The sequence below is a fragment of the Homo sapiens genome, chromosome 1 (genome assembly GCF_000001405.40).
Source record: "Homo sapiens chromosome 1, GRCh38.p14 Primary Assembly".
In the NCBI taxonomy this organism is placed as follows: Eukaryota; Metazoa; Chordata; class Mammalia; order Primates; family Hominidae; genus Homo; species Homo sapiens.
The window spans coordinates 183,120,399-183,141,502 of record NC_000001.11 but is presented as its reverse complement, the minus strand read 5'-3'; the positions used below and the strand labels follow the sequence as shown (position 1 = coordinate 183,141,502).

General features: G+C 40.2%; 1 protein-coding gene and 1 long non-coding RNA gene across 2 annotated transcripts in view; one reads left to right on the top strand and one right to left on the bottom strand.

Moving 5' to 3' along the window:
- LAMC1 (laminin subunit gamma 1) overlaps positions 1–21,104 on the bottom strand; it is a 122,173-nt gene that overhangs the window by 4,090 nt on the left and 96,979 nt on the right. Inside the window, exons 12-27 of the mRNA NM_002293.4 lie at positions 19,559–19,780; positions 19,252–19,440; positions 16,627–16,872; positions 15,953–16,106; positions 15,241–15,383; positions 14,099–14,277; positions 12,753–12,909; positions 10,954–11,159; positions 10,125–10,204; positions 8,966–9,103; positions 7,953–8,097; positions 6,694–6,843; positions 6,347–6,461; positions 4,918–5,117; positions 3,676–3,834; positions 1,000–1,099 (exon numbers count right to left, since the gene is read on the bottom strand). Coding sequence (NP_002284.3) covers positions 1,000–1,099; positions 3,676–3,834; positions 4,918–5,117; positions 6,347–6,461; positions 6,694–6,843; positions 7,953–8,097; positions 8,966–9,103; positions 10,125–10,204; positions 10,954–11,159; positions 12,753–12,909; positions 14,099–14,277; positions 15,241–15,383; positions 15,953–16,106; positions 16,627–16,872; positions 19,252–19,440; positions 19,559–19,780 — 2,583 coding nt within the window. The remainder of the gene's footprint in view (positions 1–999; positions 1,100–3,675; positions 3,835–4,917; positions 5,118–6,346; positions 6,462–6,693; positions 6,844–7,952; positions 8,098–8,965; positions 9,104–10,124; positions 10,205–10,953; positions 11,160–12,752; positions 12,910–14,098; positions 14,278–15,240; positions 15,384–15,952; positions 16,107–16,626; positions 16,873–19,251; positions 19,441–19,558; positions 19,781–21,104) is intronic.
- On the top strand, positions 233–3,101 carry LAMC1-AS1 (LAMC1 antisense RNA 1). Its single transcript, NR_149048.1, has 3 exons — positions 233–361; positions 534–692; positions 2,923–3,101. It is a non-coding gene; the product is annotated as an LAMC1 antisense RNA 1 (long non-coding RNA).

Below are 21,104 nucleotides of genomic sequence, written 5' to 3'. Positions count from 1 at the left end.
GCTCCCTAACACCCTATCAAACTGGATTAAAAGAAGGTTTCCGTATGCATAGATTTCCTTGAAAAATCAAGGTTTTTCTCTCTTTTGGCATGAAAGCTTTCCCCTCATCGGACTGTCCTTACTTAGCAAATGAAGAGAATTCCAGGCAGTAAAGTCATGACCAGTTTTAAGTGTTCTTTTTCGTTTTTTAAATTGAGACAGGGTTTCGCTCTGTTGCCCAGGGTGGAGTGCAGTGGCACGATAACAGCTCACTATCACCTCAAACTCAAGTGATGCACCTGCTTCAGTCTCCCGGGTAGCTAGGACTACAGGCGTGTAGCACCACACCCAGCTAATTTTTAAAATAATTTGAAGAGACGAGGTGAGATCTCGCTATGTTGCCTAGGCTGGTCTCAAACTCCTGGCCTCAAGCTATCCTCCTTGCATGGCTTCTTAAAGTACTGGGATTACCAGTGTGAGCCATCACACCCAGCCTGTGATTCTACTATTCTTTTATTCTACTATTGAAATCCTTTACTTTAAATCCCTTAAAGATACTGCCAGCAAGATGAGTTAAGAAAAATCACTGTTTAGTTGTACAATGATACTGGACCATAAATGCTACCCTAGCTGGCAATATATCTTCAAAATATAAAAAGAAACTCCTCAGACCACAGTGTTCTACTTAGGGCAAGGTCCACAGAAGGCACCTAGTAAGTACTTGTCACATTAACACAGCCTAAAGTCATGATTCAGGTCACACTGTAAAGCTGACAAATAATAAGTATGGTAAAGAAGCAAGTTGCTCTTAAAGACCCTGTCATGCAAGACAAACATTTATTTTATAAGGCTTTCAAAAATAAGCAACAGCAAAAGGAAATATTAATAATTTAATTAATGACTTAAAAGGGATTCATGTAAACCTATATCATCTGCTTTTGAGTCAACTGTACTATATCAGATCCTAAGAACAGTACAAAAGATTCAGAGACTGACAAAAATGACTCTATGGCTACGTACCCAGCTGCTCCAAGAGGTCATTAATAATGCTGAGGAGGCTAGTAACAGAGTTTTTGGCTTTTCTGGCATTGATCTCGGCTTCTTGAGCAGCCTGTGAAGCCTGTAAGGGAAAAATGAGGCAAAGAGTCTTGACTGTATGTTTTCATCTTCTTTAAATCTTTTTTCCCAATGACCCAACAAATCTAATTTCCAGATTTTCTTCCCTTTTCTAACTTAGGAAATTGAAACCTCTCATTGCTTTTTTTTTTTTTTTTTTTTGGTGGGGCTGCTGCATATCTTCATATTGAGGATGTTGGTATTTCTACTTCATCAAAGTTATGACTAGGCAGTCAGGATGCCTACACTCACTAACTCACTATATTTGTACTTCAAAAATTAATCTCCTTTTCTCACATTCTAACTCAATAATATATGGAGGTATATTCATAGTAAAGCCTATTAAGCAGAAACAAGTTATTTTTTAAGGATGATTATAGAAACTATGTTTCAGAACCAAAACATGTCCTTCAGGACACTCTTAGGGACTTATTAGAAATGTCCTATTCTTTGAAAATTTTCATAGTTAAGTAAAGCTCTTCTAGGAGTTCTCTTCTGTAAACTCCCCCTCCACATGCAATGACCCAGCCACAGTCCCCCTGACACACATACTCATTTATTGGGGCAATATAATTTACATTTTAAAAACCAAACAAAGGTAAATACACTTGGGAAATTCCATGAAACCTGAACAAATAACTGTGCATGAGTCATAGGAAACAGCAATGGAAGAGGAAGTGTCTAAATATCAGAAAACAGATGTTCTCACAAATAAATCTAGTTGAGATTTAAGTAAGTGGCTCTGAGCCTCTTACCACATAATTGTTTTTCCTAGTTTTGAGTAAGGACAACACAAACATTTTGGGATCAAAACAATGTGAAGATTTAAAAAAGAACAAGAAAGCAAGGCAGAAAAAACCTTCACAAATAAATGATTAATCTCTGTCCAAACGGCAGCTGTCCTTATTGAGCATCCACAAGCTTGTCTGCGAGTGTAAAAGGAGGGAGAAAGGACCCTGCCAGGGCCGGCCAAGAGCGATGCACCTGCATTTAACCTGTGGTCTCCAGCCTCCTCTTCCAAAAGAATGAAGCTATAAACCTTCATTCTTCTGGTTAAAAAATACAATACAGATTCAAATAATACTGGCCAAATGCTGGCCTTTCAGAATTGACAGAAATACAAATGAGATAGTGCATGTGAGGGTGGTTTGTTTCCTTAGAAGTTATTTACCAAAATAATAAAAGATCTTCTTTCACCCTTTGAACTAAACCAAAACCCTTTTTTGAAGCTCCTAAAGAATATACTGTTTTCTTTTTCAATATGCTTTAAATCTAATGTTTCTACAATCATATTAAAAATGAAATCCATATATGCTCAACATGTGAGAAACATCTATTTTTTTTATGGGAATTTTTGTTTTTTTGAGACGGAGTCTTCCTCTGTGGCCCAGGGTGGAGTGATCTTGGCTCATTACAACCTCCACCTCCCAAGTTCAAGCAATTCTCCTGCCTCAGCCTCCTATGTAGCTGGGGTAACAGGCACCCACCACCATGCCCAACTAATTTTTGTATTTTTAGTAGAGATAGCGTTTCACCATGTTGGCCAGGCTGGTCTCGAATTCCTGACCACAGGCGATCCACCCACCTCGGCCTCTCAAAGTGCTGGGATTACAGGAGTGAACCACTGCGCCCAGACACCTTTATGGGAATTTTTACTTGAGCCACACCATAACGGAGAAAATCAGGACAATCCAAACCAACATCCACCCCCCTACCTGTAAAAAGCATAATAAAATTAGGTGGTTGCACAGAGATAGTTTCCTTTATCACTTCCCTAGAGTTTTTACTGAGATTAACAGGCTTTGTACTTCTTTTTTCCATCCCAAGATGAAAATGACCCACACTGAGGGACTATGTTTTCTGGCAGCAGTGAACGACGGCCTCTTCTTTGCCACTGAAAGTGAGCAAGTAACCACAAGTTCGTGTATGTCATTACCGTGATTGCTACACCCAACTGGAAAAAGAATATTCCTACTGTGACTCCATTAAAGTCTTTTCAAAGCAAAATATAGCATAGAACAGAAAAATGGACCTTAGTTCTTCCTTGGGCCATCCATTGACAAGTCAATTTTGTTACAAATAGTACCTTGCATACACATTATCACAAAACGTGAAAAATTAAACTAGATGTAAGTTTCATATGTTTTGGTGGGGTGGTAGACAATGCCATCTTCAAAAATTTCTTATATACAAGAAACTTGTCTTTGTCTCTAAAGGTGCTGGGAGAACAAGAATAAGAAGAAAATTAACTTCATTGCATTCCTTTTTTATTAACATTTATGAATTACCCAGTGAAAAATATAAACACATACTTTTAATGTCCTAAAACCTCAAACGTGTAAAGCAATGTTTTACTTTTAACTGAGTAACTTTGGGACAGGACAATTGTGCAACAAAATTACCTGGCAGAAGATCCAAATTCTTTGTCTTCTATGTAAGCTACTAACCCAATTCTTGACGAGACAATGTGATGAAAAACAGAAGTCAATATAAAAAAGACTCTTCTCAACAAGTGGGGGATCTTTATTATTAAACACTGTTCACTTTCTGCCAATGAGCAAATATACCAAAACCTCTTACCATCCCTGCCATCATCATGTCCTGGTCAGCGTCATCTTGTTTTCTCTTTAGCTCTTTTTCTGCTTCCTGCAGTTGCTTCAACATATTGTTCACCTCATTATCCAGATCTGTAACTTCTGCAAAAGTTCTTTCAGCTTCTGCCTTGGTGCTGGTGGCATTCTAGGCACAAAAGAAAATTGTACTTTTTTTAAAAAAGCTTTCCTTTTTCTCAAGTATGCTCCCGCTCCTTTTATAATTTATAAAATGTCTTAAAAATATAATCCAGAAATAATAATATATTGATTTATACTATCTCATGACTTACATTATCAATTTGGGTTATAAATAATCATAAAAAAAATTACTACCCACATAATAACATTTTGTATTTTATCTAGCACTTTCATTTGTATCCTCTTCTTTAATCCTGGAAACTTCTGTTCTATTATTGCTATTTTTAGTTGGGGTCATACAGACAGCAAATGATAAACATTTAATGGCATACACTTTCTACGACATCATATTGATTAGATGCTTTCGCTGAGGTAAAATTTAAATTCAAAGCTAGCTTGGTTCATTCTTGGCAGTTCATCATAATGTACAAAAAGACCACAATCCTGAAATATGAGTATTTTATAAAATATAATTAATCCAAAAGCCAACTGTTCTAAGGAAACTAAGAGGTTTCTCTGATTCTTAAATACCTAATTCTAAAATTGCTCCAATCTCTCTTTTAAATAAAACAAACAGATTGACCTTGAAATAAGAGAAAGCCAAACTAAAAAACATTATTCTTGAAGATGACTTCAAAGAATCCTAGCAATGGCAGCTATGGGAAGTCTCTCCTAGGAGTGGCTTACATATGGCAATATACTTGAAAGGGGGACTTGAAAGTTATATTGATAAGGCACACTACATAGTATTGAAATAAATACCACCTGTCTAGGTCAAAGAAGAATGTTTATTTAGAAAAAGTCTGATTTTTTGTGGGAATGGGCTCTATAGACCTCTGAAGCCAGACCTCACACTGAGACATAGTAGAAATTTTAGAGTAAAGCACCCTTTTACTGAGTTCCCCTCCTCAATGTGGATACCTACTCTCATGCCTAGTCAAAAGAAAAAAAAAAAGACAAATATGGTTTAAGACAATTTTACTGAAGTTCAGGAAAAAAATCTGCAAGGGCTCTGAGGGTCTGGAAAGAAACTGGAAAGTGACCAGAGAAAGATATGGGCAGGGACTCTTGGAGAAGAGGAAACGCACACCTTTTGGACAGCGCTCGCGATCCTCTCCGCCTCATGGGCCTTGTTCTTGGCCTCTGTGGCATCCGCCGCAGCACTGCCCAGGGCCTGCTGGGCTTCTCTGGTCTTTTCATTGGCTTCAGTGATGGTCTGGTTGATGGCAGGAATCTTCCTTAGTGCCTCCTCTGCGGCCGTCTTGTTATCGTTCACACGCCTATCAAAATCTGAAACAAGTTCAAGGACACATTTGAGCTAAACTCCCAACAAGTAAAAAGGGGGCCTTTCAGGGAGTTCCAACTGGATTTTGTTTTATGAACAATGGAAGTCAGGGTAAAAAATGGAAGAGAGCATGGGCTGAAATTTTAGAAATTACACATCTCTACAGAATAGGTCTCCCAGTTAGTGTTATAGAAATGTTCCGTTTCTGGAAATAGAATTCTTACTTCAACAATGTGCTTTAAAATGCAGAGCGCTGAGCATCCCATTACCACTACCTCAACCATTATTAAAAGCTGCAATTTATTTAGTGTTTACTGTGTGTCGGGTACTGAGTTAAGAGCTTTGTGTCTTTGACATAAAATAGGCTGTATCATTTTTATAAGAAAATTGAGGATTAAAGAAGTTACATGACCTGTGGTGCAGGGTGCAGGGTTTTGAACCAAGGCCCACTGACACCAGAGTCCATATTTTGAACTACTACTTTTTTTTTTTTTTTTTTTGAGAGACAAGGTTTCACTCTGTCACCCTGGCTGGAATGCAGTGGCACAATCACTGCTTAGTGCAGCCTTGACCTCCTGAGCCCAAGGGATCCTCCCACCTCAGCCTCTCAAGTAGCTAGGACTACAGGTATGTGCCAGCATGCCCGGCTAATTAAAAAAAAAATTTTTTTTTATAGAGATGGGGTCTCACTATATTCCCCAGTGAGGAACTGGTGTTCAACTCCTGGCCTCCAGTGATCCTTCCTCCCGAAGTGTTGGGATTACAGGCCACCGTGCCTGGCCCATATTTTCAACTAGTACCCTGTAAAGCATCCTGTAAAGCTTCTCTATTTATAGAACCTATGACTGTTTTATCAGACAAGAATTCACAGTTGCTCAGTGAATTGGTCACATTTCTCTTCTATCTGGGGTGAAGAAAAAAAAACAACAACAAAGAATCAGATGCCACTGGCAGAGAAAATGAAAGATAATCTCCATTTACCTATATAAGTTCTCTAAATAGGCATCTTGGTTATGTGAGTTTGCCTAATAAGAAAACATCTTTAAAAAAAAATCCATACTGAAGTATGCAGGGATAAAATGACAGGAGCTCTGGGATTTCCCTTTGAAATACTTTAGCATAAAAAAAGTAGGGAGTTGGGGATGAAGTAATAAATATGGTAAAAGTCATGATTAAAAAAAAAAATCACTCTAGTGGCGGAAGCATTTGCCCCTGTTATCTCAGCCTTTTCTACCTTTCAGGTTGTTGAGAATGTCATTAGCTTCTTGTAAGGTATCCCGTCCCTTCTTTGCAGCTTCTTCAGCGAGGGCCTTGGCAGCATCAGCTCGGGCTAGGAGTTGGTCTGCGGTCTGCAAACACATGGCAGATGAGAGGATGAACCCTCAAAGCAAATCCCTTCTGTCTCCTGGACAGACAAGGCTCTCCAGAGGTGCCACCCTGAGACTTGCCAGCATAAAATCTGTTAGGCTGCTCTCTCAGCACTGGGGTCTGCTGTCTCTGAAAGTACGGCATCATCACAGACCCATTTGGACTGTTCAAATGTTGCCTCAAGAAATGAAGCGACCTGCAAATCAAACCAACCTGCTGTTCAGTCTTGCCTTTCTCCAGAAGGTTCTTGACTTCAAGTTCCTTCCCTCTCATATCTTCTCTGAGGTCCTCATAATCTTTTAATTTCTGGTCAATCAGTTGTTCCAGATTCTCAGCTTCCATCTTTATGTTATTTGCTTCATTCTGTGAAAAGCAAGTAAGATCACTACACTTTGGATAAAACATTTAAACTAATGAAAAGGTAGGCTTAGGAACTCTGTAACACCTAATACTCAATGATATTTTTAAAAGAACTGCACAGATCAAGATTTTATGGACTTTTTTAAAAAATGAGATATACTTTACACCCACTGAAGTTCACAGAATCCACATATAGTTTGATGAGTTTTGACAAATGCATTTCTGCATAACCAACACCCCAATCAAAATACAGATTTCCATCACCCAAGAAGCTCCCTTTTCTCCCTTTCCACCCGATCTCTACTCTACCTTTCCAACACTGTGCCTGCCATTGTTCTGATTTTTATCATCATAGACTAATTCTGCCTATTTTCTAATTATAAATATATAGAATCAGACAATCTGTACATATCTAAAGAGACCTAAACCTTTATGGTAAAAATCAAGTCAACACCTCAGATATAAGAAGTGAAACTTAGTAAACCTCAAGCTTAATGCAAAAAAAATACCATTTATACAGAGCTTGGAGTGAGAATCCATGATTAAGAGTACAGATATGAAATAAAATCCTACCAATTCCAAAATATTTTACCTGCCTCAGAACATCCTGCTATAGTCTTTTAATTAAACCATTCTCTCTTATTTCTCTCTAGGTCTCTACTAGACAGAGCCTGGGAGTAAATGTCTACATGTACTCTGCTTTAAGCAATTCAAATGTATTATTATAATTTGGATTTGCACTAAAGACTTAGGAGTGATTGTTCATATCATTAAAGTAGTCTTTGCTATTTAATGTTTACAATCACAGGATTCTTTACCTTGGTAAGTTTTTGTTTTTGTTTTTTTAAGAGATGGGGTCTCACTATGTTGACCAGGCTGGTCTTGAACTCCTGGCCTCAAGGAATCCTCCCACCTCAGCCTCCCAGGGTTGGCATTACAGGCATGAGCCACCACATCTGGCTACCTTGGTAAGTTCTATTAGCGTATGTGAAATAAGACTCAACTTTACCAGCGAGTCAGTGGGAGGACAGAGGGAGGTGCAGAGCAGTCGGCTCTCACATAGACTTGGGGGAGAGACGGGGTGGGGCTGTGCGTACAGGCTGCCCCCATACCTCCAGTGTCTCAGAGTCCAAAGGGCTCAGCTGAGCCACGCTGGCATAGATCTCCACAGCTTTGTCACCGGCCCTTTTGGCCTCCTCATGTACTCGGGCAGCTTGTTTTTCCAGATCCTGTGAGATGTTCTTCGCTTGTTCATACCTAAGACACAAATAATGTGGTTTAATGACAATCTTAGCTGCTTTTAGCATCTTAATGTTAACCAGATTAACATGATCATGTGATAATACGCCCAAAACCTCAAAGGAAATGCTACATTAAAATGCTTGCATTTTAATACCAACATTTTGCATATTTACATTTTCTTTTATCATTTCTATTTATAATGTATGGCTTGGCCGGGCACAGTGGCTCACGCCTGTAATCCCAGCACTTTGGGAGGCTGAGGTGAGCAGATCACTTCAGGTCAGGAGTTCAAAACCAGCCTGGCCAACATAGTGAAACCCCGTCTCTACTGAAAATACAAAAATTAGCTGGGTGTGGTGGCAGGCACCTGTAATCCCAGCTACTCAGGAGGCCGAGGCAGGAGAATCGCTTGAACCCGGGAGGCAGAGGATGCAGTGAGCCGAGATCGCGCCATTGCACTTTAGCCTGGGGGACAAGAGTGAGACTTCATCTCACAAAAACAACAAAAAAAAGAAAAAATTTTCTATAATGTATGGCTTACCATATACTTTCTTATTTCAGACACCCTTTAAAGATTTGTAGTTCAATTATGTTTCCTCTACTTACTCTATTATATTTTTTCTTCTTTATTTGTGCACAATTTTAAGTATCATGGCTCATCTTGTTACTATTCTCTGTAGTTACAGTAATTGAATCAAACCAAATCTCTGTGGCTTCACATGCCCTTCTCTACTTACTTTTCCATTTCAAAAGCATGATTAACAAAGGAAATCTTACTGCATGAATGTATGCCCTGAATGCACCAGCATTTAATTTTTCATTGAACTAGTGTTACTTACCAGAACACCTGAAGGGGTGTAAACCACTTTCAAATTATACTCACTTCCTATTAAGCTCTTCAATCTCAAATGCTGTTTGATTTTCTCCTGCCAGTGTCCTCAGAAGCAGGTTGTATGCCTCAGTTGACGTATCATTGGCTGTCTTTGCCACTCGAACAATGTCATCAGCTTCCTGTTTATGACTATACAGATAAAACAAAAAATAAGCCATGAAACAACCATCTGATAGGGACATAAGTAAAATTCAGGTAATGCTTACTTTATTATTATTATTATTATTATTATTATTTGAAATGGAGTCTCGCTCTGTCACCCAGGCTGGTGTGCAGTGGCGTGATCTTGGCTTATTGCAACCTCCGCCTCCCGGTTCAAGCAATTCTCCTACCTCAGTCTCCTGAGTAGCTGGTATTACACGCATACACACCATGCCCAGCTAATGCATCTTTAGTAGAGATGGGTTTCGCCATGTTGGCCAGGCTGGTCTCAAACTCCTGACCTTAGGTGATCCACCCGCCTTGGCCTCCCAAAGTGCTGGGATTACAGGCATGAGCCACTGCTCCCGGCCTACTTTATTATATGTACATATACTAACATGGGCAACAATTCTACAAATATTAGAAAACGTCATTCATTTGGAATTTTGTGATCATTTCAGTGGGGCTGAATTTATGAATAGCATTCTAAAACTGAGATGAGAATATTTTCCAAAAAAATTATTGGTATACATTTATAAGAGAAAATGTTTATAATTCTTCAGAAAAACTACTTTTAAATTTAATTATTTGAGAGTAATGTACATATAAAATTGTGTATGCCAGCAAGAAATCATTTACCTAGTTAAAAACAAATCCCATGCCTAATCTTTATTAACAACAATCTGCTAGTTTCATTCAGTTACTACAGTCTTAAATAAGTTAAAAATCTAAAAATATTATGGTTTTGAGAAATATAAATATGATTTGTCTTCAAACCATTGTATTCTAATATTCAAAGTGAATATTCTAATGTCAAAGTAAAAGGAAGAAAAGAGTATACACAGCTGATAATATCTTAGAAAAGAGAGCAAAGTGTGCAAAAGTGGGTTATGTAGAAAGTGTTTATGGGTTATGGGATAAGACAATACACACACACACACACACACACACACACACACCCCATAACAGAAGCCACAACTTAACCATTAAACAGGGATCTAGAAGTTACCGTTCAGCAAGCTTTCGAGCCTCTTCTGCCAAAAGAGTCATGTTGTTTGGGTCCCCTGTAGATTCTGGCTGAGTGACTGACTGCACAGGAAATAAAGCACTTATTCTCAAAGGACTGAATTATTTACATTTAATAAAGCAAGAGTCAAAACTAAATTTTTGTTAGAGGGCAAAAAGAATGCCTCTACCTTTTTTTTTTTTTTTTTTGAGATAGTTTCACTCTTGTTGCCCAGGCAGAAGGGCAATGGCACAATTTCAGTTCACCGCAACCTCTGCTTCCTGGGTTCAAGTGGTTCTCCTGCCTTAGCCTCCCAAGTAGCCGGGATTACAGGCATGCACCACCATACCCGGCTAATTTTGTATTTTTAGTAGAGACGGGGTTTCTCCATGTTGGTCAAGCTGGTCTCGAACTCTCGACCTCAGGTGATCCACCCGCCTCGGCCTCCCAAAGTGCTGGGATTACAGGCGTGAGCCACCGCGCCTGGCCCCAAGAATACCTCTTCTTATTTTCAGAGATCTTTATTTAATATCAGCACCCTTGATTGCAGATTCTATTTTCAGTAAAGGATAAAGGAAGATTAAACTGCCTAGTTCCATAGAAGGAACAAAGCTAGAGAAATAACCCAGATGTCCCTTGGTTTTTATCCAGTTTTTAATAACTGTTTCATGCCAACTATGAGCAATGTGGCTTTTCTGCCCCATATTTAGGGACAAATAAAAAGATGCATGGAGTCAATTTAGTTGAAGAAGCACTCCACTGCCAGTAACAGACTTGCTACAAACCCCAGGGGCCTCCCCCATCCCCACCTCAGACGTTTGCAATCACTTACCACATTGGCAGCAGCGACTTTTGCTTTCTCAAGTTCTCTGGATGCGATTTCAATCAACCGCTCTGTGTTCTCTACATGGGCACGCGCTTGTTCAGCCAAGTTTCCAGTCTCTTCAATGGTATTCCGGATATTCTGTAAACGGCTAATTTGGCTGGACAGAGTGTTATTCACTCTCTGTAGGCGATCCATCAAATTCTGGTCAACATCTAAAATGGTTTGCAGAAGAAAGTCTGTAAATTATCTGAAGAGGATCATATCATCTCACATGAAATCTGAGGCCCTATGTATCTCTACTCTTCTAAACATCGCAACTTTCTGCCAGGTTTCCACAAAGCCCCTGCCATAGCTGGACAGCCTTTACCACACCCAGTAGGTCCTTCACTGTGCACTCATCACACCTCCAACCGTGCGTCCATCTGTCCACTTGACTACGAACTCTTTCTTACTCACCACTATATCGCTGGTCTTATGCAGTGGTTGGCAAAGAGAAGACACCCAAGGAATGTTTAATGAAGGTGAGAATGACTGACTTTAATACCAGCACATGCAATTTAGTCATAAATCTACAATGTTGTTAAAAATGCTGCCAGCCCTAAAAGCCGAACATTTTTCAAAACCCAGAAAAAACTAGGTTTAAAACATAAGTTGAAGTATGACAAATTAAACTCATTTTGTATTTTAAACTAAATAGACTCTTTTGCCACCCCCATGTGCCAGCATATCAGTGTAATTTCTTTCAAACTGATCTCTGTTTTTGAATAGTTCTTCAAATTATTCTTTATTAATATGCTCATTCAACTTAAATCTCATACTCAGGTCCTAACAAATCAAAAGATAAATATAAGTCTGTTATTATTAAAACTCTCATGTATCATGAGGTTTTATTAATATATAAAAACCATTAAGTAAATTGACCAATTCATATTTCAGCATCATGCTCGGTGTTGGGGTCTAAATTTTCTAAGGAATGTGGGAAAAAAAAAAAAAGATGAGAAGTCAAAGGTAAGACCAATGAAGATGAATACAGGTTTGGAAAAAACCAACTTGGAACTTGGCTACCAAATGTATGTGCAGAGGTGACATTCTACAAACTCTTGCCTAACTATATATGGTGGTCCTGCTTGGAAGGTTACTCAATTATTTGATAATGTAAAAATTTTTTGGCTGGGCGCAGTGGCTCAAGCCTGTAATCCCAGCACTTTGGGAGGCTGAGGTGGGCAAATCACGAGGTCAGGAGATCGAGACCATCCTGGCTAACACGGTGAACCGCCATCTCTACTCAAAATACAAAAAAATTACCCCGGGCATGGTGGGCATGTGCCTGTAGTCCCAGGTACTTGGGAGGCTGAGGCAGGAGAATCACTTGAACCCAGGAGGTGGAGGTTGCAGTGAGCCAAGATCGCGCCACTGCACTCCAGCCTGGGCAACAGAGTGATTGTGGCTCAAAAAAAAAAAAAAAAAAAAAAAGCTTATGAAGACGCATGCCTTTAATGATTTTTAAAACTATTTTAATATTTTAAGACACCTTGTAATAGAACAGATTCATAAAATGCTTGAAATTTGAATATCGAATAGTTTTTTATTTGTTGGAAAATCACCCTATGCTTACTGTAGCTTAAAGCAGTAAATTTGTCAGGTTGCTTTTTGAATTAGTGTTTAAAAAATGAAATGATTTATAATCTATGAGTAGTTTAAAAACTGAGAAAGAATTTTATAAAACTATACTAACCTTGCTTTAGGAGCCACATCTAAAGATTGGTCCATCTCACAGAAGTCATGCACTGTTCAATCATGCGTACCTTTGACATCCTGGGCCTCACGAAGGAGGTCCATAACTTCCCTCTCTGCTTCCTTTAGTCTATCCTCGAAGGCTTGATCTGTCACCATCTCATCCCCAGTTCCAAGGTTTGCTATGAGACTCTCTAATTCCTGGAGCTTCACTCTATGATCAGCAACCTAAACATAAAGAAGAAAGAAAAGGGAAAGGTAGGACACACAAGTATTCCTGAAGAACTCAATCACACTTCCTGCAGGAATCATGGGCACTCCATGAATATGTAGTTCTTTTTTTTTTTTTTTAATTATTATTATACTTTAAGTTTTAGGATACATGTGCACAACATGCAGGTTTGTTACATATGTATACATGTGCCATGTTGGTGTGCTGCATGAATATGTAGTTCTATCCACTCCATGCATGTCTACTTCTGAAGAGAAGACGTGGCTAGTTTATTTTTCCAGCTTCAAAAAAAACCTTCAGAGCTGTTCCTTTGACTTTAAAGACTGTATGCTGATGAGTCTTAAGCTCTGACCTCTCCCTTGAGTGTCAGATTACCTTCGTGATACCTCCACTCAGCTCTCTGATAGGTATCTCAAACTTAACATCCAAAATTATACCTCTTACCTCTATTCTCTCTGAGGAATCTCCATCTCAGTAAATAAGGCCTCCAGCTACCTTAAGCAAAAAACCCAAGACACATCCTTATTCTTCTCTTTTCCTATCCTGTCCCCAAACACGCATATTTATCCAATCCAATTGAGGCTTCCCATTAAGCCCCATTCCTAACCATCATTCTTCACACATCAGTCAAGAGTGCTCCTCTTAAAATATAATCTGGATTTCCCAGATTTTAAGAGTTTCTTCAATGCATTCTTATTGGATTTGGGATAAAATCTAAACTTCTTACTATGGTCATCATGTTCCCATATAACCTGTCCGTACCAACCTCTCCCGTCTTAAAAAACAGAACACACCCTCTGCACTCAGCAGGCTCCAGCCACTCTCCAGCTTTCAGGCCTCTGTATACCAGGTTCCTTCTGCCTGGAACAAACCTACCATTACTTTTCACTCGGCTCATTCCTTTGTATCCATCAGATCTCACCTTAGATGAATTCTGTAGAGAGGCCTTACATAAAGTAGTTTCCCCCAGTTATTCTCCATTTGTATTCTTCCTGGCACTTATCTCAGTGTTTGTTTTGTTTATTTATTTATTTTTTATTATTTGCCTCCCAACTGGAACATAAGTCTTTAAGAACAGGGACCACATCTACCTTGTTCACCACTTTTTCTATAGAGATTAGTGCACAGTAAGTTGCCACTCAACGTCTGCTGGATGAATGAATGAATGCACTATTGACAGCTTACCTTATCCTTTACCAGCCGGTAACAAGCTGGACATTCCTGGCAGCCAGGCCAAGACCGATTGTAGAAATAGTTTTCTTCACACTGGTCACAGCGATTTCCCACAAAGCCTTCTCTGCATTCACAGCGACCATCATCTTTGCACTGAAGTGAAAGAGATCCCTCAGGATGACAGTCACAGGCTGCAGAATAAGGAGAAAATAATACATAATTAGCAAAAGAAGGAAGAGTATATCTCTTAATTCAGACTGATAACAATAAGCTGACTATAAGCTGACTATACTGTCATAATTTTTTTGAAAAACAGGACTATTTATGAGATCTTAAATGGCTAAGTCTGTTTAGCAGAGAAAACTGACATTTTTAAAAGTCAAAATGAGCTTTAAAGTAAAACGTGCAACCTTTGGGACACACTTCAGGTTACTTAGCAATTAGAGAAGTTATGAAACTATCAGTGCTCGTTTCATGCACTTCAAGGATTCATCTCTACCTTCAATTCTCCACTGTTTAATATTTCTCTAAGGAACTAGAAAACCCAAATGCTAATGCTTCTTTTGCATTATCTTATAGTTTGTTTATTCACTGTGTTCTCTGAACTGAGTCAATTACTTATGCTACATTCCACAGGAGAAATGAAGGAATTCAGAAAGCAAAAGCCAATCTGTTCTGAGGCCCAATTCCAGGCAAGTGTTTATGCCAAGGAGAAGCAGATGTTTACACGTAATCATACCAAAAGGGCCCCAAGGGTGGGAAGCAACTACAGCAAGTCAACAAACATGTTGTGAACAGAATCCTCCACTATTTCATTATCTGCACTAAGAATGCAATCAATAAAGAAGTTTCATGAACCACAGTGGGAAAGCTCAGTAATCAAAGGAAGACTTCCTTGGAAAAAATAAAAGATTGGAAAAAGGAAGCATCAGAAACGTTGTAAAAGAAAACATACAAAGAAACCAGAGAAGGCTTTGATCTGCAGAGTTTTAGAAATGGATAATATTCTTCAAATAAAGCATCTACGATGACTTAGGTACAGCCCTGACTATGAGTCAAGTGGCTAGACTGAGGCTGTCAAAGTCCTTTCTGGCCTTAAGACACTAACTGGAATTAGTGGAAGCTTAGAGTTGTATGCCACCAACACCCCTTACGTTTGCAGCCTTCAGGTCCAAACCCAAAGTGGTTGACCTCACAGCGCTCACAGTGCTGACCAGTGATGCCGGGCTGGCACTCACACTGGCCGGTGCGGATGTCACACTGCCCATTGGTGGAGCCCAAGGCATGGCAGTCACACCTGAAAATGAACACAGGACATTTCTCAGGCAAGAAAAACAGACTTTAAGCACAACTTTTTTTTTTTTTTAGTATAGCACTGATGTAATTTGTAACTTGTATCAGAAAACTGAATGGTAAGGGTTACTAAGATGGAATGTTAAGGGTTATTAAGCCCCTAAGGTTCAAGTAATTTTCATGAGTGCTATTCAGAACCTCTTTTCCTAACTTAACTGCTACCAGTGCTCTCCAGCCTGGGACTGTATGGACACTAAGTAGCAGCTTTGAAAACAGAAGTTCCCAGGCTGCAACCCTGAAGGGTCTGATTCTAAGTGCCTCAGAAAGGACCCGGCAATTTGTGCTTTTAAAAGGTTGCTCAGGTGATTCTGGCACAGCTGGGGCCACTGTGCTCCACTCCTTTCTTTCATTAGCTTTATTACAATTCTCCAGCACTGCCCCTGAAGGATGCCTTGCCTACATTAGGCGCTCCAGTAATTTCTGAACAGTCAATTATTAAATGTACTTATAAAAATTCATTTTTTATAACAGAAAAAGCAAAGATTACTTTCACCAAAGGCACCTATGTCTCACCTCTCACAGCCTTGCCCACTCTGCAGATTGTAGAATCCAGGGTCACAAGCACCACAGTCCTGGCCAGTCACGTGAGGCAAACATTCACACTGCCCCGTCACGGGGTTACAGCTGCTCTGCTGCTTCATGGTCCCATACAGATTGCAATTGCAGGCTAAGGCAGGAAGACAGAGATGGCAAAAGACACAAATCACCTGAGAGAAATACTAAAATATAAACAACCTAAAGAGATTCTTTAGACCTGTGTTGCCAGGTTGGTAGCTGCTGTCACATGTGGCTACTGAGCACTTTAAATGTGGCTGGTGAGTCTGAATTGAGATGTGCTATAAACGTGAGATACACACTGGATTTTGAAGGCTTAGCGTGAGAAAAAACATATATTTCATTAACAATTTTTATTGATTACTTATTGAAATCATATGTTGGATATATTAAATAAAATACATTAGTATTCATTTCACCTGTTTCTTTTTACAGGACCACAGGTGTCAGCCACCATGACTGTCCTTCTTTATACTTTTTTAATGTGGTGACTAGAAAATTTTAAAAGACAAAAGCGGTTCACAATGTATTTCTATTGGACTAAACAACTATACATATTTTAAGAGACACACAAGAATTCTCACAATAAAGGGGCATTTAGCTGTGACAGAATCTGATCAAAGGCTGATTACCTTTGCATTTGTCTGCTGGATTGGGAGCCAGGGGATTTCCAAAAAATCCGTCTTTGCACCGGTCACAATAGAAGCCAGCAGTGTTATAGATGCACTTCAGGCATTCTCCCGTCAAGCGATTGCAATTTCCAACTGCATTGGGATCGATGTTGTCACTGCACTGGCACAGGCGGCAAAGTCTCACAGGGCCGTTTCTACCCAGGGGGTCTCCAAAGTAGCCATCATCACAGAGCTCACATCTCTTACCTGGGGATGAGACAATCTGATGTTATGAAAGAAAGGCCTTAGACATTTTTGGTGCTAGATTACCACTGGCTACAGGTAATCTAGTGTAATCATCACATGAGAGAAGACATGGTGCAGTGGAGGGCAGAGGACCTGGGCTGCAGCCCTGGCACGGGGCCAGACCACCAGAGTGACCTTGAGCACATCTCTATTTCCTCACTAGACAGGAAGCACCTGGTCTGCCTACTTCACTTTAATTGTTGTGACAATCAACCCAAATCATGTATTAAAAGTGCTCGGTAAATGAGTCAAGCCCAAGGTTTATAAACTTCTCCAGTCTCAAAGGATGGCACATTCATATATGTTGTTTTGGCAGATGATATTAAAAGAGGTGAAGTGCCACTCTTGACACTGTAAGTTTCCCACACAACAGGGTGAGCAGAACCATTCTCTTAAAATGTAAGAGGCATGTGCTAATCCTTGTTAATCAGTATCAATTGGTACAGAATCAGGGCATGTTAGAAGAGAACTTAGAAATCATCAGTTGCTGACTGCTTGTATTAAATATTATAGCTCAGAGAACAGAGAGGATAAGTAATTTGCCTGCAACCAAAGAAGTGACAGGTAGAGAGGGAGAGCTAGAATCCAGAGCTCTTTCCACTCTACTACTCACTGCTCCTCATCCTTCCTTTTCCACTTTCCTACCTTGATTAGTTCAAGTTGGGCTCGTGATATCTTTGTAACCAGTAGGGCCTGAATTAGACTCAAATTTCTGGGAATCCGAGGTTTATTAATTCATTCAACAAGTATTTTCTGAGCATCTACTATATACCAGCACTGTTCTAGGTCATTAGGATGATGTGAACAAGGTGGACAAGGTCTCTGCTCTCATGAAGTGTATGCAGCGGTTGGTGAAGACCAATACACAGACATACAAATAAACAAGATTACTTCAGATAGGGATAAGCATAAAAAATTTAAACAAAATAGAGCAGCATGATGGGGTGAAGGTGAGGGCTACTTTATATTGGTGGGTAGGGAAAGCCTCTGTAAGAAGGAGACATTGGGATAGCAATGGAAAGACAGAGAAGAGACCAGCCAGGATAATATCCAAGGGAAGAAAGTTTCAGAAAAACAAGATAAGCCATGGAAGCAGTTCAAACCCATGTAGAAGCATGGAGGTCAGAGTAAAGGATTTGGTTTTAGTGTATCAAGAAGCTATTGGAGGGTTTAAAAGTGGTGTAATCTGAGGTACATTTTGAAAGGACCATTTTGGCTTTCATGTTGAGATTGGAGCCATTGTAGGGGAGCAGGTGAGGCAGGGAGAACAATTAGGCAATCCCAGGTGAGAGATAACAGAGGTTTGAACCAGGTTGGTGATAGTTGAAGTGGTGAAAAGTGGTCAGATCTGAGATAACATCAGTAAGATTTGCTGACTGTTTCTAGGACTTGAAAGGAAGATGAATCAAGTATAGGCCCTAAGGTTTCAGCTTGAGCAACTAGGCTAATGGCAGCATATTTACTAAGATGAACAAGACTGGAGGAGAAACAAAGGGTCGAAGAAAAAGGGAGGAAATCAAATATTTAACTTGGATTTGTTTAAATTTGAGTTCCTTTGGCTATGTGAATCAAAATCACAGCAGAAAATGGCTGACACAATCAAATCAGCACGGAGTGTAAGGAAACTGCGAGAAGAGTGCAGCACTTGAGATAGGCTCCATACCCTGGGCCTCAGGTGGTGGGTGGGGCAGCTAGCAGAACCTAAAGGCAAAAAGAGCTGTTTGGAGAAGGCCTACCAGGAGCTGATTTGGCTCATCAATGACGGATTTGAGGTCATCGATCCAGAGAACCCCATAGAGAAGGGGCCATGGGATAAATACTCTGTCCTCACCCTCCTCCTTCTCTGTGAGCTCCCATATGTGCTTTCTGCTGTCTGAATGCAAATGGAGCCTGACATTTGATGTAGTGCATGCAGGTCTCAGTCAGGGTGCAGAAAGGTGAACAGGGATGTGGAAAGGCAAGTGGAAGGCTTCTAGCCCACCATCCAAGTGGAAATGGCAAGTAGGTAGCTCAGGAGAGGTGCCAGGGCTGGAAATACAAACTTAGCTATCATAGATATAGAAAGGCTTTTGAAGCCTCAAGATGAGATTTGATCACCTAAAGGGGAGACGGTAGATCAAGGTGACATGAAAGCCCTTGGTTGACAGATGGAGACAATCAGGGGATACCCAAAAGAGAGATGGAAGGAAACAAGGAGAGTGAGCCTCAGCTTCCTATTAGGAAAACCATAACCACTGAAACTGAACCAAACACAAAGATCCAAAACAACTCCGAAGCCCCTTTCCCCTAGGTCTTTTTATAGAAGGGAACACTGAAAGCAGATGAAGCGAGCAGACTTACCAGTGGTGCCAGTAGGACAGTTGGTGCACACCACCTCCTTTGTCTTGGGAACAACAGCACAACTTGAACCTCCAGGACACGGACAGGGTTGGCAATCGGAGGAGGTGCCTGCAGTTGAATCTCCATAGTACCCATCACTGCACTTCTCACAGTGCGGGCCAGCCGTATTGTCTCTGCAGTTACAAACACCTATTTGGAAGGCAGGCGTGAGAAAACAGGCAAATGTACAAGTATATAAGACAATGAGCACTTTCTACACAATTGCTAAAGAGAAGTTAGGTCTAAGAGCTGCCAAAGATCATCTCACCTGTCTCAGGATCACAGGTCTCGCTGTGTCCATTGCAGGCGCAAAGCACACATGGACTGTATGGTCCAAGATTAGGAGTTTCTCTTCTGTAACCTGAGAGGCACATCTCACAAAACTGCCCTCCATATCCCACAGGACAGGTGCAGGACTCCACCCAAGTTGCAGGGACTCCAGGCCCAGGACGAGCACTTGCCAGGGTGACATCATCCAAATATCCAGCACCTGTGTATAGTGAGGAAAAGAAAATCACTGAACTGGCTTGTTTTCCAAACCTTGTGTAAAGTCAGTAACACTAAAAAGTAACTAGACCCCAAATTCCAGAGAAAATTAGCCATTTGCTTAACTGGGCTCTGATACACTAAACGAGATATCCACGTCTACACCCTGGAGAAGAGAATTAGAAAACAGCATTTAGAACAATCATGTGGTACTGAGTGCTAAGTATCTGGAGTGGTGGTATAGCAAACTTTTATTTTATTTATTAATTTATTTGTTTGTTTATATATATATTTATTTATTGAGATGGAGTCTCACTCCGTCTCCCAGGCTGGAGTGCAGTGGTGCAATCTCGACTCACTGCAATCTCCGCCTCCTGGGTTCAAGCAATTCTCCTGTCTCAGCCTCCCAAGCAGCTGGGATTACAGGCGCATGCCACCATGCCCGGCTAATTTTTGTATTTTTTTTTTTTAGAAGAGACAGGGTTTCACCATGTTGGCCAGGCTGGTCTCGAACTCCTGACCTTAGGTGATCAGCCCACCTTGGCCTCCCAAAGTGCTGGGATTACAGGCTTGAGCCACCATGCCCGGCCCAAACTAATTTTTTTTAAAACACACACATGTACCCCTAGATTTGCTGAATTTTACAGTCCCCACCAATGTGAAAAATGAAAAGCATCAGACAATCATTTGGAGTGAGAAGAGATATGAACAAGAGTGTGGGGGGAAAAGAAGAGTTTATGTCTACAGCCATTAAGGAGTGTTTTCATTCTTTTGCTACAAAAGCAGGCACTACAGAGTTCAAGGGTAAGACAGAAGGGAAAGCACCTGTCAACAGGTAATACTCAGGTTACATAATTTCTGCCCTCTGTAAAACAGCCAAAAAACCCCCCAAAAAACAAAAAACAAAAACTCTCAAGTAAAGTTCTAATACTCAGGGTTACTTCTGACAAGTATACAATTACTCCAAAGCTCAATGCTTTTCCATTTCTATAAGAAATCAGAGGAAACCTTATATTGCCTTAGACCAATGGTTCATCCAATCCAGTGGTGCCCCTGATACAAGCATCAACAGGAACATTTTATCAGAGAGGTATAGGCCTCAGTAACATCATCATATTTCCCTGTAATCTCCATTCCACTCTAGTGTTTTGCAGTCTTATGCTTAAAGCGTATTTTTCATGTTATGAAATAGCACTTGCTGTTTATAAAATTCATTTGAAAATTAACCACCTAAGGCTGAAGGACACCTCCATTACTACCCTAAATGTACTACTTTTAGTATGTTTACAGGTTTATCTTGCCTAGTTAGGTCATGAGATATGGCTTTA